This window comes from Homo sapiens, chromosome 20, assembly GCF_000001405.40.
Source record: "Homo sapiens chromosome 20, GRCh38.p14 Primary Assembly".
NCBI lineage: Eukaryota > Metazoa > Chordata > Mammalia > Primates > Hominidae > Homo > Homo sapiens.
The window spans coordinates 51,383,096-51,410,727 of NC_000020.11; the positions used below are offsets into that span (position 1 = coordinate 51,383,096).

A 27,632-nucleotide genomic window follows, 5' to 3' on the forward strand; every position below is an offset into this window, starting at 1 on the left:
GGCGCTGGCCGCACCTCGCTCCACTGCAAACAATCCGTTATTCACCTTGTCAAACAGACTCCCCCGAGAAGCCGGTTTCAGATTGGGCTTGTAAACGGCAGCTGGCTGGCCGGCCCTTCTCTTACCTGTCCCCAAGGAGCTGTTGAGCCACAGCAGTGAGCATTTTACAAGCAGGAGGGCCACAGGTGACTGCAGGCTGCCAGAAAGCAGATAACTGGCCTGGCAGGCTCCAGGATTCTAGGGAATTATGGCCTTTGGCTTTCTGTAGCAAAGGGAACTGGCTCTGTCTAGAAGACAGGCTGGAATACACTGCTGTGTAATTAGAGATGAATAAACCGAGCCATGTGGGGCAGGAGGAAAGTCTCCCTTGAGTCAGTTGTTTGGTTTATAAAATGTGTTAAATATTAGGAAATGATTAATTTTCCATACATGCCAGATGAGCCCATTGTTCTCCATGCACAGGAAAAGGCATGTTTGCTCATTTAACACCCGGTTCCTGGGGGCCTACCATACCGCATGCCAGGGTGGTAGAGAGATGGCATTGAGCAAATCAAGACAATCGTCGCCGCCATGGAATTTACAGGGGCAAGAGACAGGCAGCAAACATGCACACGGCCATCCAAACAGCGTTTTTGACATGCCAGGCTGAGTGCATGTGTGGGTGGGGCATGGGGTAGGTCCCACATGACAGCGGTCACTGAAGTCCTCTGAGGACAAGAATTTGATTGGAAAATTGAAGAATGAGGAAGAGCCAGTCCACGAAACTCGGGGGTCAAAGCGTTTCAAGTTTTAGGAGGAGACAGAGAGAGAGGTGGGGAATGGTGTGGTCTGGGCAAGGAACAGAAAAGAGACCTGGAGGCTGGAGAACTTGGGGCCGAGGAAGATGGCTGAGCCTCTTGCCTGAAATTCGGATCATCCTGAACGCAAAGGGAAGCCGTGGAGGGCTTTAAACAGGGCTGTGATGGGATCTGAGGCTGCTTTAACCTCGATCTGGCTGCTGTGTGGACGGGGAGGTCGGGAGTACACCAGCAAAGGGCTGTTGTGTCATCCAGGTAGGAGATGAGGGTGTTCTGGTGAGCATGAGGCATAGAGGTGGGATGATTTCAGAAGGGACCCAGCAGGACTTGCTGATATGTGGGCAGTGGGGACAGTGAAGGATCCGGGGTTATTCCCAGGGTTTTGACTAAGCGACTGTGTAGATGGTGTTGCCATAAACTGATGAGTAAGATGGGTGTGTGTTGGGAGAAGGGAGGAAGAGGAGATTGGGAATCAGGAAATTTTGGGGCATGTTGAACTCAAAATGCCTCCTGGCTACCAAAGAGAAGAAGGCACATAGTTGGGGAGGTCATACAGGAGTCTGGCACGTGTGTATGTGAAGGTGTAAATACAACCCTCTCCACGGTTGTCCTGTGAATGCTTTTTTCTCATGGTATTAAGGGCAGAGGGTTCTGAATCAAATATCCTCTGACACTTTGCACAGCAGCAGAAACTGTTGGCAACGTGTTTTCAAGGAGTTTTGTCAGTATTTCATAGAAGGATGAAGTGTCCCCATTTCAACAAAAAATTTAGGGATCACTGATGTAAAAAGTATAGCCCCTGGAAATCAGAGTGAATTGTCACTGTACTTCCTGTCTCGAGTCCAGCGCAATGTTTCAGAGCTTGAAGTTTTTCGTAAATCAGGGATTCCTAGAGGGCCTGGGACACGGCAGATATACAGCAGGGGGTTTTGTTTCTTTGATAACTCCTCATCGGGCCATTTACAAAGCTCAACTTCTGAATTTTACCAGGAGGGCAGGGCAAGAGGTGGTTTAGAGTGAGAAGCCCTTTTTGGAGAAAGTTTGGTCTGACCTTGTCCATCTTTGTACCACAAAATGTCATGAGGTTTATAGCAAGTGTGTCCCCTATACCCCATCACAGCTACTGGGGATCCACAGACAAAAGAAATGACTTCACTTTCATTTCTTAAAGGTCCTTGTGGTTCTGTGCCTCTGTCCTCAGCGTTATTTTATACTCAACCTGGTCCTACCAGGAACCCAGTTTCCTCCCAATGTATGAACATGAAGAGGCTGAGTAGGAGTCAGCATTTGTTTTCTCCTGTCAATCTTACCACTTCTTAAATCCCAACTTGGCACGAAACCACTGTTCTGTTTCTGCTCCTTTGTACGAAACTACCCCATGCTGTTGGATACAGCAAGGAACAATGTTCAGATTTGCAAACTCCTGGCAAAGTGACCCCAAGATGCTCCAATACGAACTTCCTTGTTATCTCAGGTTTTGAAAATTGGATAAACTCAAGTTTCTGGCTTTAATGATCTATTTAGAAAAATTTAAATCCCATAGTCAGAGCTCTAAATGTTTTCTTCCAGATATTAGTCAAATGAGGTCTCAAGATGAGCTCAAGGCTCCATGATATGCCTTAGGTGAATCTGAAATCTGTTTGTTAAATGACGGGACAGTGGATCGATAGGTAATATTGATTAAACATGCAGCACCTGTGAGGTGGGGACTAGAGAACTCATTTTATATCTGGGGAAACTGAGGCACAGGCCAAATTTGTGTTTATTAAGTGTGGCTTAAATATAAATGTAGAACACAGACTTGTTTTTTGTTTTTTGTTTTTTCTTTTTTAAAAATGACTGTATAGTTTTAGCCTTGTCCTCTGCTTAAGTGATTTTGACTTTCGATTCAGGAGAAGTGGTGTAAGGTTTTCAGAAAGTGAGTTAAAGCAAAACAGTTGGCCGCAGCGGCAGCAATCATCTTAGTGGGGCACAGTTGCCTCTTAGGTGTAGCCCTGGGCAGATATTTTTTGTGGGGCTCCTGTCTGCATGTGCAATTTGAGCCATTCCTAAATCAGCACCATTCTGGTGATTCAGTCTCACACCATCCCACAAAAATCACAATGAAAATACTGCACCAGCCATCAGGAGCAATCTGCTCACCAGGGTGCTCTTCTGGAAGCTGGCCTGGACCCTGTAGGTGCAGGTTCTAGAGCTCTTTGGGGCATCTGAAGGGGAGAAATGGGAGCCAGCTAGTCCCAGCCACCAGAGGGAGACTAAGGCTATTTCAAGATAGACACTTCCAGCAGCCAGGACCCATGCAGGTCCCTGTCTGAGCTTGGGACCCCTGCCCATTTGGTAGTGCTGGTTACACGCACTGGAATGGGGGGCTAGAAAATTCCCAGGAAGACATTCCAAGTGCAGGGCTATGGTGGGGTGAAGTGGGTCCCTAAAACACAGGGCCGGGGGCAGGTATCCCGTTTCCCTGGGGTTAAAGGGTGGGAGGAGGTTCGAACCATATTAAGACATTAAAAATAGCAGCTACTTCCAAACCTCTTAGGTGCTTTAGCTACAGGAGGGCAAAAGCTGTTTTAAGGAGGAACTTGGCTAGAAGGTTCTAGTACTTATGTTTGTGGGTTTGAAGGTATAAGGTGCATTTTTTTTCTTTAGCCTTGATATTTTGCAAGATGCTCAAATAAAAATGATGGCTTTTGCCTTCCAAGTGGCTGGCTTAGCCCAGTTGACCATGAATGCTTTGGGACCCTTGGAAAGCTGGTCTAAGGTGGGCATCATAAATCTCTTTTATGAATGCTACCTCAAAAGTAGTCTAAAGGCACAGATTACAGCAGAGCTGTGCTGGAGAGAACCAGACAAATTCAGGTTGACCATGTGGCTTTGTCACCTCCGGCAAGTGGCTTCTGAGCCTGAGTCACAAGCACGGTGGGACTGTACCTACCTCCTAGGGCTGAGACGAGGAGTAAATGCACACACTTATGTACACACACAAAATGTTCCTTGCTGAGGGAGCCCGAAATGTAAAGGGAATATTTGAGTAGCCTCTCTGGAAAAGAAAGATACACCAAAGTAGATGTTGCTTCCAACTGTTTTATTGCTAAACTATCATGATACAAGCCGTATAAAAATACTTTACATATAGGAAAAATAAACTACATTAAACTGGAGATTAAAAACATTTGCATAGGAATGTGATGTATTCAAACGCCTTTAACAGTCAGGATTTTCTAAACCTAAGCCTGCCAGCACCACCATGTTGGAGAGACCTGTTTGTTGGAGAATTGGTTTTCTCTCCTCTGAGGGCTGTAGAGGCCAGAGGGGTGAGTGAGGTTCTTTGACAAGATGTCCAGGATGCTAAGCTTGTCCCAACAGCCATAGCCTCGGTCTGCTCAGGCCAATCAGAATGCTGTGAGCACCTGCTCTAATGGAAACAACATCATTTGCATCCATTCCATTCAAAGCTTGAACTCAGCAGGGAGTTTATTCTGGTCAGCCAACAGCTGCATAAAGGTAGAATGTTAATAACCCTTTCACTTCCAGCTCCCAGGACCCTGATGGCTCAGGGAGCAACTCTCTGTTATCAACCACCAGAAAAGTTTGTTTTTAAACAGACTGAGTTAAACAGTGATGTTGGCTGTAAGTCAAGGCACTCACAAAAGCTGAGGGAAATGGATGTTTATGATCACAATTTTATAGGATGCTGCTTTTTCTTAAGCATTTAATTGGAATGCAGGAAAATACTTGCTATGCAATTGGCTGCTTTGGTTCCACGAAACGTAATGCCCTAGCCTCGAGCCTAGGAGACCCAAGGTTAAGATGCGCTGGGTCACCGAGCACCTTGCCTCCGGGAAACAAGTTCGGGAAAGGTTAGCCCAGCTTGTCAAGAACGTCACAACTCCATCCATGCCTCTTGTAAACTTGAAATGAAAACATTCTTTCAATTCTGAGCAATAGAAAGCACTTGGAAAGGTCTTTTTTTTTTTTTTTTTTTGACATGATAAATTCAGCCTCACTGTAGTCCAGAGTGAGAATTAGAACATACCAACTTCCAATCTGCCTAAATGTGACAGCCTCTGCCCAAGACTGGCTCACTGAGGCGTCTTGGCTACTGGATGTAAACAAAAAATGCAATATCCGTGCCTCCCAGTTCTTTGAAGGAATCAATTCATCCTTGGTTATATCTATGCTGGAAAACTGTGGGTGTCCTTTGGATAAAGCATACAGGAGTTATCTACCAGGATTTAGATTTGGTCCCTTCTGTAAATATTAGCCTGAACGTTGAGTTCTGTGAACATGAATTCTTTTCGAATTCCATTACAATGCAGGCAGGGTTTTGGTGTCAATTTTTTAAAATCAAAATCACCTACTAAATTAGTTATTTTGGGGGGAGGATCTAGACACTTGATGATTCTCAGTGACCAGATCCAGGCTCAGGGCTGAAGTCAGCATAATTCTTGAGCAAGAAAAAGGTGATTCCTTCTTCCACAAAGCCATTCCTTCTCCTGAGATGCCATCTTCTAGAGAGGTGACTAACAGGCTCTGAGTGGGGGTTTTATTATATGGGTTTTTGTTTCCTGGAATGAGTAACAAATGTTTCAAGAATACATCATTTCTCTTAAGAAAAAAAAATCAACCTATGTGTAAAAAGAGACACTTAAAAAGATTTCTGACCATTTATAAATATAAATCTAATTCCAACAGGGGTGTAATATTTTGAGGACAGGTAAAAAGCATAAAAATACAGGTAAGAAAATAAAATTTAATAACATACTAATCTGGATTGCTATACATATTATCAAGCAGCAGCATCTTTGTACAATACAGGAAGACTTGCAAACTTTGGAAATATACTACATTCAGCAACACGGTAGACCTGTCAGAGTGCTACATATTTACATTAACTTAGATGTAGCAGTGCAAACCTTCACTCAACTGAGATCCTTCTAACACACGTGCAACACACCCATCTTTACCATTTAGACACCCCTACTTTCTCATTCTCTTAGAGGATCTTATTGCCTCTTCCCGTACTGGAAATATTTCATGAGCCATCCTTCTTGGCAAAATTTCCTCCTAGCATTTGTAACTGACAAAACTTCCTTGATAGCTGTCAGTTCCTAATACACTTTCTCTTGCCTGTTTATGTCTCAAATCTAATGCTTTTGTTTCTCTTTCCTTTGCGATTTGTTACAGTTGTTTATGAAAGTGCTTCCTATAATATCCAGCTAAGATGTCTTAGAAAAACAGAGGGGTTTATTTGTGTGTGTATTACACACACACACGCGTACAGGAGGTTGAGCTACCAGGAGGCCGTTTTTGCTAACATAGTTAGAAAACTGATGGAAAATGCATTAGTCCTTTTTCACCCTGTGGACAAGGAAGCTGAGCTACTTTGCTACAATAGCAGGAAGGCACTTGGGTAAAACATTCAGATAACTGAGGAAAGCCCAAATTCCCTCATGTACAAAAAACAGCTCCTAGCCAGTCCTAGCCAGGTCGAGTGAGAACAAATCACTCACCACACACTCTTGGCTTTTCCCCAGTGAAGTCAATATTGCTGGAGAGAAAATTCTTTAGGTGAAGCTGCTAGTATAAGGAACTTATAATAAGGAACTTATTTTGTTCATGAGGAAGTATTTAGCATCCCAGAAGTTCCATGGTAGGGGTCAACCTCTTACTGGCATTCTGTTTATTTAAAAGAGAATTTTGCTAAACTCTTTGAGCTTAGGGTGGGTGAGGGAAAGGTCGTTCATTGTCAGGGAAAAATAAATGCTAGGTATCGACCGACAGGTTGCATACAAGTGCACAGGCCCGAATCTGAGCATTTTGCCTTCTATCTGGAGTGCCAAACACACCTGGCCCCACTCCCAGGAAGCTTTTACCTCTGGGTAACCTTGACGGGAGAGCCAGGACTTACAAAGCCCACAGTGGGCACTGAGTGGCCATGACTTTCTTCTGAGGCCTTCTGCCTACAGACTGTACAGACTGGACTGAGAAAACACTCTAAGTACAGTCTGAGTGCTAAGAATATTTTCACTTTGCTGCGGATTATTGAGGAAACAACTGAATGGCTGAAAAATGAATCCCCCGCTTGTCCTGGGGTATCTGCAGTACATGCAAACAGAAACAAACACATCTGCCAAGAACTTCAAGGGTTTTGTTTGTAAAAATCACAAAAATCACACCCACAGAGGAAGACTAGGGGAGACTGGGTGCGCTCAGTGGAAACAGTTGGGAGGAAGGAAATCACATATAACATGCAACCGAATAGAGCTCATTCAAAGTAAAGGATGCATTCGAGTAGATTTCTTCATGTTAGAATTTGAGTGCGGATAGGTCTTCAGGGGCAGAAGGGATCTTTAAATAGGTTCAGGTCAAATTAACCAGTGAAGCTGGGAAGCACATCCTGAGCTCGGCTGTCCCACTTAGAGGGAATTCAGCCCTTTTCCTCTATCTTGGTAGAAACCCACCTCCAGAAGCACTTGGGCTGTTTTACTTAACAAAAATACCCACACTTCTTTTCTTGGTTGCTTTAGCCCTTCTGCTATTCCTCAATTAAATGCACATGCTTGAGATTCTCCACCGCTTTACGGAAAAGCACTCTGGCTGCTAGGAAGAAAGCAAGCCGGAACCTTGCAAAGCATCCAGGTTGTACAGCTGCAGCAGACAGGTGCTTGCTCTCTGCAGCCTGGGTCAGCCCCCCAAGTCTATGGAAATTGTGTTAGCAGGACTGCGTGCTGCAGGGGTTAAAGAACAGCTCGCCAAGACAGCTCCAGGGCTAGGTGCCCTGGTCAGCCTTTTAAAGCAGAAAAAATAATAATAACAAACGCGTATACATGTCATAACTTAACGCCAAGAAGTCTTAACAGGTGATCTTGTCTGGGCAAGACAGTTTGGTTTTGGAATGAGAATTCAAAAATAAAGCTTTAGCTGTGGCCCAGTTGTGGCATGGACTGGGCGAGCTCTAAGGACTGACAGTTCAGTTTCTGTCTCTATCGAGGGTTTTGGGTTTCTTCAGCCTGTAAGCTGGGCTCTTGGGTCACGTTCCTTTGGTTGCTCTGAGAACTCCTTGCCTTCAAAAGGTACAGGAGCTGTATCTGTGACCTGGAAAAACGAACGCAAGGGCTGGGGTTTAATCACAGTGCCCACATCTTCTGTCCCCCGTCCATCCCCCCAAGCTCCAGTCACTCTGTTCTCAGGAGAGTTCCAGTGTCCTGTCTCATGTAGAATGTGCTTTTGGTCAGCAGGTGCTTACTATTTGGACGGAACACCATTAAGATCAACCAGGATGCTCTCTGGGATTTAAAACATAAACCGAAAAGAAGAGTTCTCTCTGGTGTTTAGAGGGAGGTGGCGAGCTCCTTAAGTGAGAGTCCGCTTAGTGCCCATACATTGATCCGCGTGTGGACTCCGGGCTGGGAGATGAACATGAAAGGAGACAGAAGGTGAGGGGCTGTGGAGGGCTCCGAGGGGTCAGATACAGAAGGTGTCTTGCTATAATGGCTTCTTTTACGTCTGATTTCTGGCAGGAGGTCCTGAAAACTCCTTCCTGATAATTTCATTAACTACAAAAGAAAAGAGGAGGGGGGGGGAGAGAGAATGGGGCAAGTGAGAGGGCACCGAAAACATGCATCAGGTTCACTTTCTAGAACCTCTATTGGGCTATTGATTTTTGAGACAAGGTCTTGCTCTGTCACCCAGGCTGGAGTGCAATGGCATGATCATGGCTCCTTGCAGCCTCAGCCTCCCGAGTAGCTGGGACTACATACAGGTGCACGCCACCACACCTGACTACATTTTTAAATTTTTAGTAGGGACAGGGTCTCACTCTGTTGCCCAGGCTGGTCTCAAACTCCTGAGCTCAGGCGATCCTCCCACCTGAGCCTCCCAAAGTGTTGGGATTACAGGCATGAACCATTCTGCCCATCTCTATTTTTTTTAAATACTTTTTTTGTTGTTGTTCCTTGTGCTTGTATATTTGACAATTTTTAATATAAGGAATGCTTTCCTATATCATATTTTCTTCAGGCAATATTTTTTGCTAAAGATCTGTTAGTGAAAATTGCTCAAATGGTAACTTTTTCAAATCTTTGTGGCAGAAATGGAAATCTTTGTGGGAAAAATGGATTTGAGCCATAGGGCATGTTTGAAGTAACTTTCTCCTCTTCTGCATTTGATGTCATGCTTGAGGCTATTGTGTACCAAACTACTTCCACTATTTCCACATCTAGAAAATGCCTATTACATGATTAAGTCTGATAAAACATGGTTCTTTCTTGATCCATAAAACTTACGGTTCTCAAAAGAGGAACCCTTACAAAGAGAGCAAGTGAGGGCCCCCCAAAGACTGACTAGCCATCAACATAAACATAGTTTCCATTTCAGCACAACCAGTTGAAGGATCATGTGCCAGCTCAGGAAAGTTTGGTCACCCCTCTCCCCAGAAGTATGTGTGGAGTTCCTAGCAGGGAACCAAGAGCAGTAACAGTCACTGGCATCAGGAAGCAAGCTACCTTCTCCCACTTTGCCCACTGGGTAAGGTACTAATTACTAGAATTAGGGCACTGAGATCTTAGGATAGTGGATCCTGCAAAAAGGTTCCCTAAAACATTCTTGGAAAGAAGAAGGTGCTATTGGTGACAGCCCATCCATGAGGCATGCTCCCTAAGGTATGTCTACACCTTCAGTTTTACAGGTAGACCATACTGACTAGTCGTGGGGTGGAAGGCATGAGGCTGTAGACCCCTTTGGGAGTCCCATCAAAGGCAGGTTCATTTCCCATTTCCTGGTTCTGACACTGAATTCTTCCCACACCTCCTCATACTTCCTTTTCTCACCTTAGCCTTAAGTTACATTGGCAGTGAGGGTTAAATGTTCAGAGTTGCCCGAAGTTTCTCCATGGTCAAAGCTGGGCCCTTCTAGGTTCAGGGTGCTTTTCGCTGGAAAACCCCTGCCCAGATGGTTTGCAACCTCCATAACAGAGTCGGGGAATGCAAAGAGCTGAATGAACCGGGTTTGATTCTCAGCTCGTTCTCTGACTGTATGATGTTACCTCTCCGTGCCTCAATTTTCTCATCTGTAAAGTGGGAATCATAGCACATACCTTTTCAGGCTGTTGTGAGGATGCTAAGCATTCACATAGGTAACAGTGCCCAGCACAGTGCCTGGTGTTCAATAGCTGGTGGTTATGATGGTTAGTAAAATCCCCATGCTTCATGTTGGACTCTGAATTCCGTGCTTTGCAAACATTGGCTTTGTTTTGTGCCAGAACATCAGGCATGCCACAAGCATGTACATGAGAGGTCGGATTCTGGAGCCAGCGGGGTTAGATTTCCACCTCTGCCACTTCCTTGCTTGGTGAACCTTGCCTTGGTGACAAAACCACTCTGTGCCTCAGTTTCCTCATCTGTAAATTGCATCTAAAAATATTACCTCCCAGGTTGCTGAGGTGCTTGGATGAGATAATGCAAGTAAAGATCACAGTGCCCAGCGTTCAGCCAGTATTGGTTTGTAGACCAGTATATATGTATTAGATATGTATTAGAAATACATACATTATGTATAACTTAACTTTTCCAACATGTGGAAACGGATTCATTAATAGGAATGTAGAGGACAAATTCATATATTTAGCTAACCAGCACTAGTTGGGCATCTACTGTGTACTGGGTAACAGCTGACTCCCAGGGGCCCTAAACCAGAAGCTGAATAAGGACTGTCAGCCCAGACCCTCAGTGCTCCCTGCAGGGGTGATAAGCTGACCATGCTGTGTAGGACTTATGTAGCGAAAGCCAAATGCCCGGGGCAGGTGGGGTCGGGGCAGCTTCATGTGAAGCTTTTCAAAGCCCGGATTCCAAAGGGCTTCCTGTTTTCTCAACCTAGGAAGTGAGAGGAGGGGATCCTTAATGAAAACTTTCCACAGCCTCAGCTTTCTAAAATTAGCTGGTAGGCAGAGACGCTGGCACCAAGGCCCTCTCGAAGGGCTGTTTCCCTTCTCAGAACACAGGGCTGGGGCAGGGGATGGGAAGTAGGGAAACTTTTCAAACAGGCAGAAGCATGTTTCCCTCTTCTTGGATGGAAATGGTCCTGCTGATGGAAATGGTCCTGCTTTCTGGGAGTTACTTTCAGATAGAAGTGAAGAGTTGCATCTGGAAAATTCAGTGACCCTATGCACTTAGACCTTCTTGCTATTGGGGGTGGTGAAGTGGCCCTGAGTTCAACTGCCGCCCAAACCTCTCTGGGTAGGAACCTCCTCTTTCTGAAATGTCGGCACTTGTTCCCCTGACTGCCAACAAGGAGAAAGTTCTAGAACAGAAATGCCGGCTAGGTGGTGGTGACAGAGTAGAGCCACACTGGGCTTTAAGTTCTGAGAGGGGGGTCTCTGCTCAACCACTTCATGCAGGGTCCACAGGTCCCACATTTGCAGACTCGAGTACCAGGGTGCAGGGGAACCCCAGTGCCCTTTCACCATGCCATTTCTCCTGGTCTCTGTCTGTCCCCCCTCAGCACTGTTCCCTCCTCTTGTCTCACCTTCCTCACGCTGCTCCTCTGGGTAGCATCATGTTTTCCCCAGTCTAACACTTTTCCTTTTCGCTCATGTTACCCAAGGCTCAAACAGCCTCCTTGGCAAAGCCCCCCTTGGTGGCCACCCCCAGCCCAGTCGCACTCCTGTCTCCTCACTATCCCCTGCTGCGCTGATGCTCTCCTTCCCCCCATATCCCTTAGATGATGCCTTGGTGCATGGGAAGTACTCAATAACATTTATTTATGAACAGAACACAGAAGCTTAGAAAGGGATTGGGAAACTTCAGGTCACAGTCAGGATTGTCCTCCCCAAGTCGGCCTCTGAGGTTTGGGTGCTGAACCACTCTCCTGTATTATTGCCATCAACATTTTATTCCTCCAATAATCTACCCTAGGCCAGCAACTGTACCTCTCCTCCTACCTGTTCCCAAATGGGGCCACGTGCAGTGTTCTGCCTCTTCCTGGAAGCCGCCCCACATTCCTGCCATGGTGCCCTCACTCGCTCCAAAAGCAAGTACTAAATTTCCAAGTAGCCCCACTCGTGCATGGCACCATGCACACAGCAGGTGCTTAATGCCTGCATTAGCCCACCCCAAAGACCCTGCACCATCAGTCTAGGTCCCTTGGTTTAAGGAAGCTGATTTTCATGCGATTGACAAATGGGTTGCTGATCTGTTACTTGTTTGGAGTCTTTCTCTCTATGAAAGAATACGAGCCATTCACATTTCCTGAGAGCTGTGTGCCAGGCCCTATACAGTGCCAGGGACTATTATTTAATTCTCACACTGCTCCTAGGTAACGTCATCATCCCCATTTTATAGATGGGGAAATAGAGACAGGCAGACCAATACTCTCCCTAGCAGGTGACAGGGGATTGGGATTTGAACTCAGAGCCTATTTAATTAACTTGTATGGTATTGATCCTTTAATTAACTTGTACGGTATTGATCCTCTTTCTTTTGGGGATCCCAGAATCCTCTGTGTCATTTGCGTGAAGTCAGGGGACGGCTATGGCAGACTCTGCTTAGCCAGCAGAGAGAGGCCGTGTGACAAAGGCAAGTGCTCTGCTGGAGAAAGTGTCCCTTTCTCAGAACACAATTGAGGCCAGCAGTTGTGAGTCTGCCATGGTGCTCTTGGCCTGTGCTCATCCTTAGACAGAGGTGCCCTAAAAGACTGATGGAGAATGATCTCACAGAGGTGCCCTAAAAGACTGATGGAGAATGATCTCAGGGTGACTACTAAGCCTGCAACTGGAAAGGAAAAAGTGAACCGATCTTATGTAAAAATTACGCACAAAACATGCTGTAACATTTTCAGTATATATGACAAAGTCATTTATATATAAAGAGGTGTTTCAACTCAGTAAGAAGGATATTAATATTCTAATAAAAATGGCTATAGACACAAAATGATGATATACCAGGGGTCAACAAACTTCTCCTGGAAAGGGCCAGGTAATATTTTCAGCTTTGTGGGCTCTTTCTCACTAAGCACTGCCAGTGTAGCATAAAAGCTGCCATAGACAGTACGCAAATGGGCACAGATGTGTTCCAATAAAACTTCATTTGCCAAAACAGGCTGGGGGCCAGGATTGACCCAAGAGCTGTAGTTTGTCAGCTCCTAGTATGTATATATATATATATATATATATATATATATATATATATATATATATATATATATAAGCTAATGGCAAAGAAGAAAAAGCAGGGTGTTCTCTTTGCCTGCTTTTTGAGGGTGGCAATCTGGGGAAGCCAGTGCCTCTTACTGGATTTCTAAAAGCTAAAACTGACTTCTGTTAGTATCCCATTCTGCACTAGGAATTTTCTGTTTTGCTAAAAGGCCCAGACACCTGCATGTACTTTCTCCTCCTTCCTTTATCAGAGCTCAGAGGTTCCCAAACTTCAGTTTGCAGCAGGATGGCTGCTCAGGATTACATGGGGAAAACAACCCAGAGGTATTAATACTTCAGGTGCAATTTAAAGGACTTTCAAGGGTGAATTTCACTCACTCTAGGCCCTTTCCCTTTGACTGCTGACTTTGGAACTGAATCCCCTGAGAAAGCAGCAACAGGAAGGAACGGATAGGCTGGGTCCTGCTTCTCGCTCAAACCTCAAGCATGTTTTCCAAAATCTGGTGAGACCACGTGAGTGCCCACGAGAGCCTGGGCCCAGCCACAAAGGCCATGGCCAGAAAGACACTCCTCAAGCTTGGATGGGAATCAAGAGGGCTGCATTCTCCAGGCCAAATCAAAGAATCTGAGAGCCAAGAGGGGGCCCAAGGCACCACCCCCCAGTCACTACTGACTATTTCCTCTGCCTTGCAGTGCCTTGCTGAATTCACTCCCACGACCCCTCCATGCTTGGGTCAGGATGCATGAACCTGAAAGCACATGAAGTCCTCTCTGGGATCTTCTGCCTTTGGTCCTAACTGTTCTCAGGGGGAAGCGACTCTGAAGGCCAAGAGGTAAGTTTCCTAAGCAACCGGGCCTGCTGGTCTTGAGCCCTCCCCTGTGCCTTTTTTTTTGAGTCTCCCTCCGTCACACAGGCTGGAGTGCAGTGGCGCCATCTCGGCTCATCTCCGCCTCCAGGTTCAAGCGATTCTCCTGCCTCAACCTCCTAAGGGAACCTGCCACCATGGCCCGGCTAATTTTTGTATTTTTAGTAGTGACGGGGTTTCACCATGTTGGCCAGGCTGGTCTCGAACTCCTGACCTTGCCTCGGCCTCCCAAAGTGCTGGGATTACAGGCGTGAGCCACCATGCCCAGCCCTTCCCCTCTGACTTCTTCTGTCTCAAAACTGAAAAGGCCTGTTACTTGAAACAGAGCTCTCCCAGACCTCTGCTTTACACTTACTAAGTAACTTCCCAGTGTTCATCTTCTCCAGGGAAACCTGGCCGTACTTGAGTGAGGCTCAGTGAAAAGAACATAAAACCCTCAATAGGACCCTCAATAGGACTGTAGCCCAGAGCTGTGGGTGGGGTCTGAAGAGTGATGGTGGAACAGCAGTAAATCCCCTCCCAGGCCACGCTGGTCAGAGTCAGCCACAGGCCTGAGCCGCTGGCTTGCCAAAGTCCCCAAGCCCAAGACACACATTAAAAAGGCATCGCCCTTCGACAAGTTCCCTGGGGGGCTTACAACCTCAGCACTGATATTTTACTTGCATTTTTATCCTCGGATGCAAAGTCCTGAGGACACTCCTGAGGGACTCCCCAGGAGCCGATTCCTCAGATGCAAAAAGTCCTGAGGAGGGACAGTGGCAGATGGCTGGAGAATGTGCTCCTCCCCCCAGGGCTTCCTTCTGCCATAGGGAAGTAGGGGTTCATCTCAGCAGGCCCCATCCTCTGGCAATCATGCTTCTCAAGCGTCAGCTCCCCTGGGTGTACTAATATAAACTCTAAGATGGGCTGGGCACTGTGTGTGCTGGTTTATTCCGATTAGAATATGGAGAAGATTAAATAACAGCAACAGCATCTAAGAAGCTGAGGCACAGAGAGGTAATGCAACCTTCCTTCCTCAATGTCTCATCTGGACTTCACACCCCAGGGCCTCCTGAAACCTGCACGATAAGGTCTTCTTAGCGGCCAGGCTCCTCTGTGGAGGCCCATCGAGGTGGATCTGCTGGGTGAGGGGCTCAGCCGAGCACCCTGGGAAACTCAGTTCCAAGGGGCTGATTTCAAATCCAGAAACCAAGTAGCAGAATCCTGCGACTTCAAAAGCCACAACAAGGAAGCCCCCCGGGAGGAGCTGAAACCTTGAGTGGAGGGAATCAGGATTGGAAATGACCTAAGCACAGGGCGGGGCTTCCTCAGTGGCTTCTTAGGTAGGTTTTCGGACCTCCCTGCCCACTCTGCTGTTCCCCAGTGCCGGACACCCACCACGGATGGAGAGCCTCATTTAACTGGACACCCACAACAAAGTGTGCAAAACCAAAAAGGAGCAGGCTCCAAAGACGTTGCTGCATTTTTCCACGCAGGCCAGCCCTGGAATCGGGGAGCATGCAAGTTAATGGGGCCTCATCCCCCCTTCTCCCGCCCAACCCTGAGATTCTCAGGGAGGTCCCCAGGAGTGTCCACTTCAGGAGTGGAGGGGTCTAGCCCTTAAGAGCAGGAGAATGAGAAGAGAGGGCCTTCAGCCTGTCAAGTTTTCTTATACTTTACTTAAAAAAAAAAAAATTCAAGTTAAGGAAACACACAGCTGGAAAACAAAAGGAGAAGCAGAAGATATCGATTACCTTTAACTTTGATTTCTCGGATCAAAGATCACAGTCATTCTGTTTCATAATATGTTTTGTATCCAGCTAAGGTGTGTGTCTATCAGCTCTGAAAAAGATTTGCAAAATCATTTTTGAGAAGAAAAAAAAAAATCACCTTTGATCTCTCTTACGCTTCCAACTCATGCCGATATCATCCAAGCCCAGGAGGGAACTTAACCCTTTGGCTCTAGTTTAAGCCAGAATTCTGCAACATCTTAGCATTTGTGCCAGAATTAACCCAACACTAGGGTAATAATCATGGAGATGAGGGACTCTGTGCAAAGTGCATTACATTATGTGGGGTGTGGGATCAGGGGAGCGTGTTCAGGGTGGACAAAAGGGCTGCTGTGGGTATGTGATGGGGTTTCAAATCATGGCCAACTACAAAGAGAAAATTAAGCTGGTTTCTGCTGCAGTCAAAGGAAAATCAGAATTTCATTAAAGATCTACTCAACTGTTATCTTCCTTCAGGCATCTACAGATACTAAACTGGGCCCCAGTTTCCTTCTTACTAGTGATATCACCTCAGTGGTCAGGGAAATTCATAAAACTGCACATTTTCTTCCTGTTTTTTGTCAACAATGGAAAAAAAAGCTCCTGCCCTATCAGAACAACGAAGGCACTTGAATGAGACCTGGGGAGTCTATTGTAAATAATACTCCTCTCTACATGTGTACAATGCCTGTGGCTTTCAAAACACCTGTCTTCCCAATCCCCTTTGGCCGAATTGGAATACCCAAGTCCATTCCAAATGCCTGATTTAGAAATGTTTTCTGAGTCCAATTTCTTACAGGGAATAATGCAGCGTTATTAGAAATGTCAAGTAAACTAGGATGCTTTTTCAAATAGAGGCATAAGCTCCCTGAAATCTCATCTTCAAGGGAGACAGAATGCTCAATAAATGAGATCCTTTCAGCGCTTATGCAGTTAGAGGCCTGGATTTCCCAATGTTGGGCTCCAACAGGAATTGGCTAGTTGGGGTTGGCTACTGCTGCCCTGGGGCAAAAGAAGCACTTCATCTCTCCTCCTTTTCTGACCATGCATCTCAGGCCATCTCCCAAAGCAAACATTTCCAGGTGGATGTGGCCCTAAGGCAGCTCCCACACTAAACTGCCCAGTCTCCACTTGAAACTGACTTCTTCCAAGTCCAAGAGCAGACAGTACTGTCGGATAATTCACTCAGGGCCTTAAAATACCACCTCTATCCTGACGATGGCCACATTAATGTTTTTAACCCAGACCATCACTCCTGAATTTCAGATTGCAATATCTACCTGCCCAAACTTCACAGGGCCAAAACCAATCTCTGGATCCTCACCCCTCCTCCCCGTGTCTCACCTGTTCCCATGATGGGAAACACACATTCTCTCTTTCCAGTTGTTCAGGCCAACCTGTGTGTTCCCTGACTCCTTGTTCACAGCCCACATCCCACCCACCCATACATGCTTCTGGATTTACCCCAGGTAGCCAGAAACCAACAACCTCCACTGCCACCCCGGCCCTACAGCAAGGTGATCCTGTTGGAACTGATGTTAGAGCACGCCACTCCCTGTTTTGCTCAGCTGACAGCTCTAAAGTTCTGTAATGACCAACACGTTGTCACTTTATCCATATCTACTCATTTAAGGAGCACTTCAGTGGATCTCAGGCATCAGGCACAGGTCTGAAGTCACACCCTTGGAGGAGTCGTTCGAATCTAGTTGGAACCCCAGGGACCAGGTTCTTCAGACCATCCACCCAGAACACGAGTTCTCTCTCCAAACCTTCAAACACCAAACCACATGGTGCCCAGTGTTAATATGGGGGGTGGGGGGGCACAATGGCGCTATCTCAGGGGACTCGAGAAACCAAGCCCTGTTCTGTCACCTTCTCAGAGAAATAGAAAGCATCACATGATGGCTCCGTCTGCAGCATTCGGAGGTGCAGCTTCCTGTTTAGTCATAGAGTTTCACTCTTTGTCAGCTTCTTTGTGGAAGACAGAGGCAGGGCCTGTCTTCATTCAACTGAGGCCCGAAATCAACTCGGGACCAGGCCACCGCCAAACACCCTCCTCCGCAGGTGGCTACTCGCTCTGCCTTCCTTCATCCTCACAGACATCTCCGGGGGTGGTGGTGAGAGTTCCATTTCTCAGGTCAAGTTAGTAAGGCAGAGAAAGATGGGGCGACTTGTCCAGGAACAGCCTCCTAGCATTGGGTAGAGACCAGATGTGGCCCCAGCTCTATGGGTACTAGTCCTGGGCTAGGGTTTCCCCAATTTGAAAGATCTTCTGGCTGCCCTGGGGCCTCTGTTAAAATGTAGACTCACATCAGAAGCTGTTGGAACATAAGCACTTCAACAGTGCCTCTGCCTCAGTCTCCCCAGCCACGAGATGGGGATGAGAACACTTCCTTGGCAAAGTCACTGAGGATTAAATGAGATGCTATAGGCCAGGCACAGTGGCTCATGCCTGTAATCCCAGAACGTTGGGAGGCCGAAGTGGGTGGATCACTTGAGGTCAGGAGTTTAAGACCAGCCCGGCCAATATGGTGAAACCCCGTCTCTACTAAAAATACAAAAATTAGCTGGGTGTGACGGCAGGTGCCTGTAACCTCAGCTACCTGGGAGGCGGAGGTTGCAGTGAGCTGAGATGGTGCCACTGTACCCCAACCTAGGCAACAGAGCAAGACTGTCTCAAAAAAATAAAAATAAATGAGATGCTATAGCTGGCTCATTGGCATGTGTTTATTAAGCCCACAATATGGTCCCCTAAAGAAGATGGAAGAGAAAGAGACAAAGACCAGTCTAAAAGAGGCCATTCCAATAACCAAGGATACCATTCTGTTTCCCTACATATTTAAATGGGAGGTAAGTCCATTGATCCACGTGAATGTGCTGGTCAGTTGTCAGTAATATGGAGATGCGGACGTCAAGAGAAAAGGCAGTATTTAGACTTACTACATGGTCCCTAAGTGTCATCTACAAATCCTCCCAAAGACACAGGGGTACCTCAAAAACCACAATTACTTTTGCGCCAACCTAATACAAGGTTACAGCCTAAGACCTATACAGTGGCCTTGCATTTTTACCCCAGGCATAAACTGGTGAGTCATCCCACTGATCCTATGGACTAGGTGATAATTTAAGATGTAAATTAGAAGTGGTTCACTGATGAGCTTAATCAATGGTGATAATTTTCATAAAAACACAAGGTGTCAACAAATAGCCATTACAGACAAAAGTACAGACCCAAGAATCTGTCTCCTTGACAAATATACAACTAGCTTCCCAGACTTCTGAGCTCACAGGCATGCACGTTTGAATGGGATGGAATTTAAGGGAAACCCTGCGTGCATCTCCGTGGTGGAACCAATGGGAATCAGGCACTGGTCTAAGGGACGTCCAGTTTTGTGTTTCTACAATGCAAGTCAGATGTCCCCTCCTAGCCAGTGTAGAATATGCTACCATCATCTCCATTGTCTGCTTTTTTGCAATGATTGCACATCAACTTACAATCTACGGAGAAACAATTGGTGACTTTCTCAACTAAGCTGCCCGACAAGGAAGGACTAACCAACTGTGTAAACTCAGACCTGAACTGCCCATTTCTATTCTCCAATTCAGCAGAATTTCTTCTGATTACATGCAACTAAGCTGCACCTCTCCTATCAAGCAACCACACGGCTTCTAAAGTAGCAACCACAGGCAGGAAAGCATTCTAAACAAACCACAGTTTACTTCCTTGTCCTTCAGCCAGTTCATCACCACCTCGGCCCCAACCCTCTGCTAAGAAACATCAGCCAACAGCACAAGCCCTGCAAAATAACTTGCTGCCTTTGGAAAAAAAAAAAGGCAAAAGAAAAGCACTTGTTACTATATTGAATTGAGACATAGGAAACAAACAGTAATTCAAACCCACAAATCAGCCTGTGATCACAAATGAGATAATAAAATAAATACCTGAGTTTTGGGGAAGACATATACCATAAACCCCCTCTGGGGGTTAGAGGAATTAACCAAACATTTCTTTTAAGACATTTGAGTATATGCCTCTTTGCTTATCCAAGAGAGATGGAATTGTAAGCAGGTCAGACACTCCCAGGTGGATTAGCAGGTGGGAGCAGTAAGAAAGATTTCCACCCTAACTTGCTTTGCTCATGTCACAGAATCATGCAAAACCTCCCCCTCTTCTGGGAGAAGGGGCAAAACCCCTGGCCTGGCTTCATAAAGATATTTCTTCAAATACCAACATGGCCCCTGATTCTTAGAAAGAATTCACTGGATATTTATTGAATTTCCAGTCCAGTCTCCATCTCGCCCTCCCATAAGTTCACCTTCCAGATCATTCTATGTTTACCCACATATGCCAGGACCAGCTCACAGCACAGGCCCAACATGGGACACACCTCCCCCCAACACATCCACATTCTCCCGAAGCCCAACTCAAGCGCACGTCCTGGAAGCAGAGGCATCCCTGGCCATGTCACAGTTTCTTCCACAAACCTTTGGATCTATCTTTTGTATTTTAAGTCTTGGATTTCCCATAAGAGATGTCAACCATACTCCCTCCATACCTTCCAGATTCACAGGCAAGAGAAGCCACTAGGCTTCCTGCAAAGAAATTTCTCAAGATCTGAGTAGGGACCAGGCTCTGTCTTAAATTTCTCCAAGTGAGATCCACATGCGTGGCCCTTGCACGTACTGCTATCATCTCAAAGGCCACCTGGAGTGACCAGCAAGGACTGTATTCATGGGTGACACTGCACCAGGTGTTCCTAAAAGACAGTAGTTCCCAGAACAGGCAGACAGAACCTTCACTCCTGATTCACCCCTTGATCAAACCTTTCACCTATACAGTCCCTGCTACACACTAAGTTATGCCCCCACCACACCAGCCAAATTCCTATATTGAAGCCCTAAACCACTCTGTGATGGTATTTGGAGATGGGGCCTTTGGGAGATAATTAGGACTTGGTGCAGTCATGAAGGTGGGGCCCTCGTGATGGAATTAGTGGCCTAAGAAGAAGGGCCACCAGAGGTCAGTCTCATTGTCTCACAGGAGAACACAATGGGAGAAAAGGTGACTGTCTGCAAGCCAGGACCTAAGCAGGTCCTCTCCAGAACCTGATCTTGACAGGATTCTCCAGAATCCTGGTCTTGGATTGCTAGCCTCTAGAATTGTGAGAAGATAAATTTCTGTTGTTTAAGCCACTAAGTCTATGATATTTTGTTATGTGGCCCGAGCTGACTGACACAGTCCCCAAAGTACATTCCTCTCCAAAGTCTCGGTCTATGCTCACGAGGTAGGCATCTGGCCAGTGAAGTCATCGAGGTTCAGGTAAGCAGACATCCCTCTATTTTAGGTCCAGCATCCCATGGCTGGTCCGTGGCAGGGGTTGAACAAGGAGCAGACCCTGATATCCCCACCGCCACACCTTTGTGTCGCTTGGCTGATGCCTAGGAGGCCCTCTTTTTCCTCTGCATCTGAATCCTGCTTGTCTGCCCATGATCAGGCCCAAATCTCTGTTTCTTGCAGCCAACAGCTCCTCCCTTTCTCAGCTGTCCTGGCGAGGGGCTCACACCCTGGGGTCAGAGTCCCAGGGACACACAGACAGCTGGGGTCCAAATCCCAGCTCTGCCACATCCTTTCATAGAACTTGAGGCAAATCCTAACCCTTTCTGTGCCTCCTCTGTTAAAGGTGGGCAAAAACTATTCCCAGCTTCTAAGGCTTTTAGAGAGAATCTGAGTCAATGCATGCAAAGTTCTTCAAACATGCAAGGCACATCATAAGAACTCTGTACCACATTACTTGTTTTGGGAATCAGAGCCAATCTTTTAAGTCCTCGAGTCTCAGTTTTTCTCATCTGTAATATGGGAATGCATATATATGGCACTATGCCAAGCTAAGAAATAACCAAAAGTAGCAGCTCTTTCTATTAGCAGCAGCAGTGTGTCTCAGCCCTCACACAGAGGATGCTTGTTAACAGACTGAATTGATGATGGCCAGTCCACCCTCTTCCACCAAAGCACTTTCACCTTTGAAGCTATTTCTGCATTTTCAGAATGGGCAGGGCTGAGATCAGCCATGCTCTCAGAGATGCATTTTCACATCCTGCTGAGAGGGGCCCCTCCCAGGCCTCACTGCGCCCTAGTGTGCGCAGACAGCTTTGGGCCGGCGACCTGCAGAGCAGCGTGAGTCACTGACGCTCTCTGCAAACCAGAGGCCTCCGGAAACCAGCCCAGACAGCAGACTCACAAGCACCCTGCCACCAGCCATTTTATGAGCAAGACCTTGGGGCTTACGAGAAAGATGCCACACCACGTGCCAAACTGTCCCCAGCTCTTGGGATGAGTAGACATGGTGATTCTGAGACTCTGGTTTCTAGTAAAAGGGGCTCACTGGGAGGAGAGCATGTCACTGGCAGATCAGTTTGTGGCCAGGAAGGCACCAAGCCCCAAGATGGCAAGAGGAGCCACCTGCTTCGAGTTGAGCTCCTGGAAGAGAAATGCATCAGACGCCAGCCAAGCAACACCAGACAGGACATGCCCCCCAAATTAGCTTCCAGGGACCGTAAGACATCCTCCTAGTCCTCCCCCAACCCACCCTCCACCACTAGACTTCAATGATGCCTTTCAAACCCCAGATCCACATGCAACGCGAGGCCAACAGAGCAGTACCAGAGGCTGCTCTTCGGGACTGGAGACACCACTCAGGAAGATGTGAGGCAGGCAAACACATTCACCTCGAGTTCCCAGGGAACTGTGGGTGTGCAGGCGCCATGACCTCACACGTGTCATCTCACCGTGCCTCACCAGCAGGTCTGTTTGCATGTGCCATGTTCGTAGAAGCTTGGCATCAGATAGGCAAGCTTTCATAGGCACTGCCTTTCAGCTGTGCATGGCTCCTGTGGCCCTGGTGTTTTGGGAGGGAGTAGCATGAATCAGATCACAGAACCCCGTATCTTGAAACCCGTGACATTTTAACACCAACCTCTCACTGGTTGGTAATACCCTCATTAAGGCACAGACCTCATCTCTCTCATCTACTGCTGTATCCCCAGCACCTAGGACAGAGCCCAGCACATAGTAGGTGCTCAGTAAAAATCTCAAGGAGGAATGATTGGGCGAAAGAATAACTACCACCTCCTAATTGATAGGACTTGCCCAGAATTTTTCCGATCAGGTCTGGCTTTCAACTGTCTCCCAGAGCACAGCAACCTCCGCCTCCCAGGTTCAAGCGATTCTCCTGCCTCAGCCTCCTGAGTAGTTGGGATTACAGGTGTCCGCCACCATGCCCGGCTAAACTTTGCATTTTTAGTAGAGACAGGATTTCACCATGTTGGCCAGGCTGGTCTCAAACTCCTGACCTCAGGTGATCCGCTGGCCTTGGCCTCCCAAAGTGCTGGGATGACAGGTGTGAGCCACCACACCCAGCCTACATATATATGTTGTTAATCCTCACGGTCATCCCATGAAGTAGGTATTGACTGCCCCCATTACACAGCTGAAGAAACCAAGTCTCCGAAAGAGTAACAAACCCAGGCTCTGCAGCTATTATGTGGCAGAGCAGTGTGGCTCAGGCTACTTGTAGATAGAAATTCGTTTTCACTTACCACCTGGCAACAAGAATACGCTTCTCTGAATGCAGCTCAGCACAAACACTGGTCCTTGGGAGACCCTAGCTTTTATCAGGGTTGGGCAGTAGAAATCACCCACATGGTACACAAAGAAAAATGGGGGTGACAGTGTTGGCATCGTTGTTAGCTTTGGGTAACCTGTGGCGGGGAGCAGATACTGAGATTTAAGAAGCAAAGAGCGGCTTGGCCCCCTCGGGACCACTATGCCAAGCCCGGTACACATCTAAAAGGTGAAATGGTGCTGGTGTATTACAAGAGTTAAAGCCAAGGCCTGGGCTGCGCAGAGGAATGACTGGAGGCGCCCCGGCTTGCTTCCATTGGCAATGTTCTCCAGCAGAAGGGGAAAACGTAGGCTCAATTCCCACAAACCCACCAGCAACCGGGGTTTCTAGACCTCACAGAGCCCAGGCCTTCCTGTGGTATCAGTCTGACTCTGGCTTGGGGCCTGGGGGCATCTGCAGCCCACGTAAGCCATCCTCTCTAGAGAGGGTGTGACATCTTAGCTCCATAGCGGCGCCTGTCTGAAAGGGAAATTCAGGTCACCTCCAAGGGTGACAGGAGTCAGTGGCTTCCACAGCAGAAGCCTGGGTGTTATGACCACTTGCTGGCCGCCTCGTCGGAATTCCATCTTGATTGACTCTCCCTAGCTGCCTGCCAGCACCCACCCACTGTCAGGACCCAGGGATCCCACTTGGCCTTTAAGACTGAAGATGATCTGCTTCTCTCCCTCACTCTCCCCTAGTCCACAGTCTTCCTTAGTATACGCTATTCACGTCAAGCCTGCTCACGCCCCAGGGCCTTTGCACCTGCTGTTCGCTCTACCTGGACTCCTGCTCTTGCCTTAGACACCTGCTGTTCTCTCTACTTGGACTGCTGCTCTTGCCTTAGACGTTTGGAGGGCTCTCTTGATAAGACCTCTTCTCAAATGCCACCTCCCCTGAGGTGCTCCCCTTACTGGAACGGCAAGCAGGCCTCCGTGCCACCCCATCATGCCCTGTCCCCCAGCCTGCTTTTCTCTTCCAACAGAACACTTGGCACCCCCAGTTTTATCATTTATATTTTCAAACTGCAAGCTGTAGGAGGGCCGGGACTTTGAGCCTCTTCACTGTGTTAGCCCCAGCAGTGAGCAATAAACGGCTGTTGGATGAATGAATGATTTAGCGAAAGAATGGACAAATAAATGAACCGACTATGGCTTCCGGGTATTGGCAACCCAGTGCTGACTTCATCTTGTGGACATCGGGTGCTGTAGTCCTCAGCTCTGTAGAGCAGATTCCAAGGAAACTGGGAATCACGCTTCATGGTCACAAAGGAGGAGACAGTGCCTCTGAGCTCTTGCTCATGCTGCACTCCTGCCTGGCACCCCATCTCCCCTGCTAACTAGTGAAATCCTGATCCCAAAGTTGCAGAGGCCCACAGCCCCTAGGGCACCCAGCCGCGTGCCTGGCATTTGGAAGGCTTATTCAACTGCTGAGCAGACGGGGTCAGGACGAGAACCGTGGAGTCTGGAACCCTAAGCCTTCACTTTCCACTCGGTCCAACTTAAAGAAGGAGAAATTGTTTCTTCGTTTGTGAATATCTCCATCCTGAGCTTATTTCATATGCCAACTGGGACATGGCTAGAAATTGCCCATGAAAAGACTGTAGCAGGAAGCAGGTTTTAAGAGCAGCAGATCCTCAGGAAACCTGAGCTGTTTAGAGACAGGAGGGCCAGCCTTCCAACCAAAGTCCTCTGTGGCCCAACCCTGGGCATCCATCCGCTCAGGCCACTGAGTGTCCAGGGGAGGGAGAGGTGGACCACAAGGCCAAAGCCAGTTTCTCAAGCATTTCCCACCCATGTGGCAGGGTCGGTGGCTGGGAAGGACAGTGAGCCTCGTGAGAAGTGGCTCTTTATTTCTAGTATGAAAGATAACTTTTAGCAGCCTTTGAAAAAACACCATAAAAATTCAATACTGGCCAGGTGTGGTGGCTCACGCCTGTAATCCCAGTACTTTGGGAGGCTGAGGCGGGCAGATCACTTGAGGTCAGGAGTTCGAGACCAGCCTGGCCAACATAGGGAAACCCCATCTCTACTAAAAATACAAAAATTAGCCGGGTGTGGTAGTGTGTGCCTGTAATCCCAGCTACTCGGGAGGCTAAGGCAGGAGAATCCCATGAACCCAGGAGGCGTAGGTTGCAGTGAGCCGAGATCGCGCCACTGCACTCCAGCCTGGGGGACTGAGCAAGACTCTTTTTAAAAAAAAAAAAAAAAAAAGCCAGAGCCCAGAAAGAGGCCCACACTTACATGGGAAAGATATTTACAACACCAACAGATTACATCTTCTGAATAGATGGTTGGTGATAACTAGTTATCCATACAAAAAAACAGTGAAATTAGAACCTTCCCTCATACTGGACATAAAAATCAACTCCAGGTGGATTACAGACCCAAGGGTACAAGGTAAGACTGCAAGAAGTTTGGAAGACACTATAGGAGAATCTCTTTGTGACATCAAGGTAGAGAAAGATTTTCTGACCCACTGCTTTAAACTGGTGGGAACCTCTGAATCAGTTGGAAAGCTTGTAAAAGCACAGACTGTGGGTCTCGCTGGCAGAGTTTCTAATTCAGCAGGACTGGGGTGGAGGTGGGAATTTGCATTTCTAACAAGCTCCTGAGTGACCTGACAACACATCATCCTAAACTACACCCAGAAAACTCACACCTTTCAGAAAAGAAATTTAACTACATGAAAATTTTCTGTTCACCGAAAGACATCATTTTACATGTACCAGCTAAGTGAAAAAATTTAACTGTCTGACAGTATCAAACTTTGTGAGGTTGTAGAGCAATGAATTACATATGTGTTGCTGATGGGAGTGTAAACTGGTATAACTGCTTCAGAAGACAATTTGGTATCGTCTACTAAAGTTGGAAGTGTGTGTACACCCTGTGACCATGCAACTCTGCTTGTCAGTATAACCCTACAGAAAGTCCTCTGTGTGCAAGCACCAGGAGACAGCGAAAGAACATTCCAGACAGCACTGCCTGTAACCAGAAAGAGGAAAAATCTGGAAACAATCAAATGCCCACCATCAGCAGAATGGAAAAATAGGCTTTACAATGGAATATTATGCAGCAGAGAAAAGGAAAGAATTACAGCTAAAGCAAAGACAATGAGTGAAATCTACAAAGAAAATGAAAAGGAAGTGGCAAACACAAAATTCAGGGTAGCAATTATGCTAAGGTGTGAATGAAGAGGATGTGTTTGAAATTGTATCCAGAATCACTGAGCATCATGGCTGTGAACCTCAGAGATGAGCCCACCAGACCCACCTGCCTCCTGACGGAGGAACACGCCACACCGATGGGACAGTCTTGCCAAAAGCATCGAAGCTGAATTGGATCAAGCCTCCAGATCTGACTGACAACTTACAGGAAATACCGAGGACAGAGCCACGTGTCAGACGACAGTATGCGACTGCAACCTGCAAAACCCAGACTACAGAAAATTCTACAGGACGAACTGGTTTCTTCAGTACAAAGATGGCAAAGAGAACAGATGAATGTGGGGTATGAGCAGACAAAAGAAACTGAAAAGACATTTCAAACAAGCACAATATCTGGTCCCTCCTTGAGTCCAGAGTCAAACAAACTTTAACAAAAAGAAATATGGCCGGGCACAGTGGCTCACGCCTGTAATCCCAGCACTTTGGGAAGCTGAGGTGGGCGGATCACGAGGTCAGGAGATGGAGACCATCCTGGCTAACACGGTGAAACCCCGTCTCTACTAAAAATACAAAAAATTAGCCAGGCGTGGTGGCGGGCGCCTGTAGTCCCACCTACCTGGCAGGCTGAGGCAGGAGAATGGCGTGAACTCGGGAGGCGGAGCTGGCAGTGAGCCGAGATCATGCCACTGCACTCCAGCCTGGGCGACAGAGCGAGACTCTGTCTCAAAAAAAAAAAAAAAAAAAGCGAAATATTAGGACATTTATGAGACAATTGAGAATTTGAACACTGAGTTTGATAATATTAAAGAATTCTTCATTTTTAGGTGTGATAACAATATCAGGGGAAAACTGTTTTTTTAAAGTCATCTTTTAGAAAAATGTAACTGAAAGATTTGCCAGAAAACATTTTCTACGCAGAAGAGCTCAGAGGAAATGACTATCCTATTGTTCTTTAAGCTTAGGGGGAGGGGTAAGTACACAGTATGTTTGTGTACTCACATATATTTTAAACATATTTATATGCATTTAATAAAAGCAATTTATTATTTAAAGGAAAGGAAGAGAGGGAGAGAAAGAGGGAGAGAAAGGGAGGGAGAGAGAAGAAAGAAGGTAATGAAGGAGGGAGGAAGAGAGGGAAGGAAGGCAGTGGGGAAGGGATTATTTGGAGAGAAGGAAGACAAAAGGAGACAGATCTCCTTTGCACCCACCATACAAGAGCTGGTATTTTTGCACATCCTGGCAC

The 27,632-nt window shown here is 46.9% G+C and overlaps 1 protein-coding gene and 1 long non-coding RNA gene across 11 annotated transcripts in view, besides 2 other annotated features; one reads left to right on the plus strand and one right to left on the minus strand.

The window, feature by feature from the left end:
* Nucleotides 1–13,894, plus strand: part of LOC105372663 (uncharacterized) — a 30,555-nt gene extending 16,661 nt beyond the window's left edge. For both annotated transcript variants that reach the window (XR_936848.3, XR_007067650.1), the window contains exon 3: nucleotides 13,642–13,894. This is a non-coding gene — a long non-coding RNA (uncharacterized LOC105372663). The remainder of the gene's footprint in view (nucleotides 1–13,641) is intronic.
* NFATC2 (nuclear factor of activated T cells 2) overlaps nucleotides 3,868–27,632 on the minus strand; it is a 175,877-nt gene continuing 152,112 nt past the window's right edge. For 5 of the 9 annotated variants that reach the window (NM_001258295.2, NM_001258292.2, NM_001258297.2 and 2 more), the window contains one exon: nucleotides 3,868–8,356. In NM_001258295.2, coding sequence (NP_001245224.1) covers nucleotides 8,301–8,356 — 56 coding nt within the window. In that variant the 3' untranslated portion in view covers nucleotides 3,868–8,300. Of the gene's footprint in view, nucleotides 8,357–15,547; nucleotides 15,636–27,632 lie in introns of all 9 variants that reach the window. The other 4 variants (NM_001258294.2, NM_001136021.3, NM_001258296.2 and 1 more) reach the window with 1 other exon arrangement.
* Nucleotides 17,351–17,820: an enhancer, noted in NCBI's record as "active region_18109". NCBI's record gives its function as "activates an Ori minimal core promoter by ATAC-STARR-seq in GM12878 lymphoblastoid cells {active_cell/tissue: GM12878}" and the evidence as "EXISTENCE:reporter gene assay evidence [ECO:0000049][PMID:35858748]".
* Nucleotides 21,792–21,951: an enhancer, noted in NCBI's record as "active region_18110". NCBI's record gives its function as "activates an Ori minimal core promoter by ATAC-STARR-seq in GM12878 lymphoblastoid cells {active_cell/tissue: GM12878}" and the evidence as "EXISTENCE:reporter gene assay evidence [ECO:0000049][PMID:35858748]".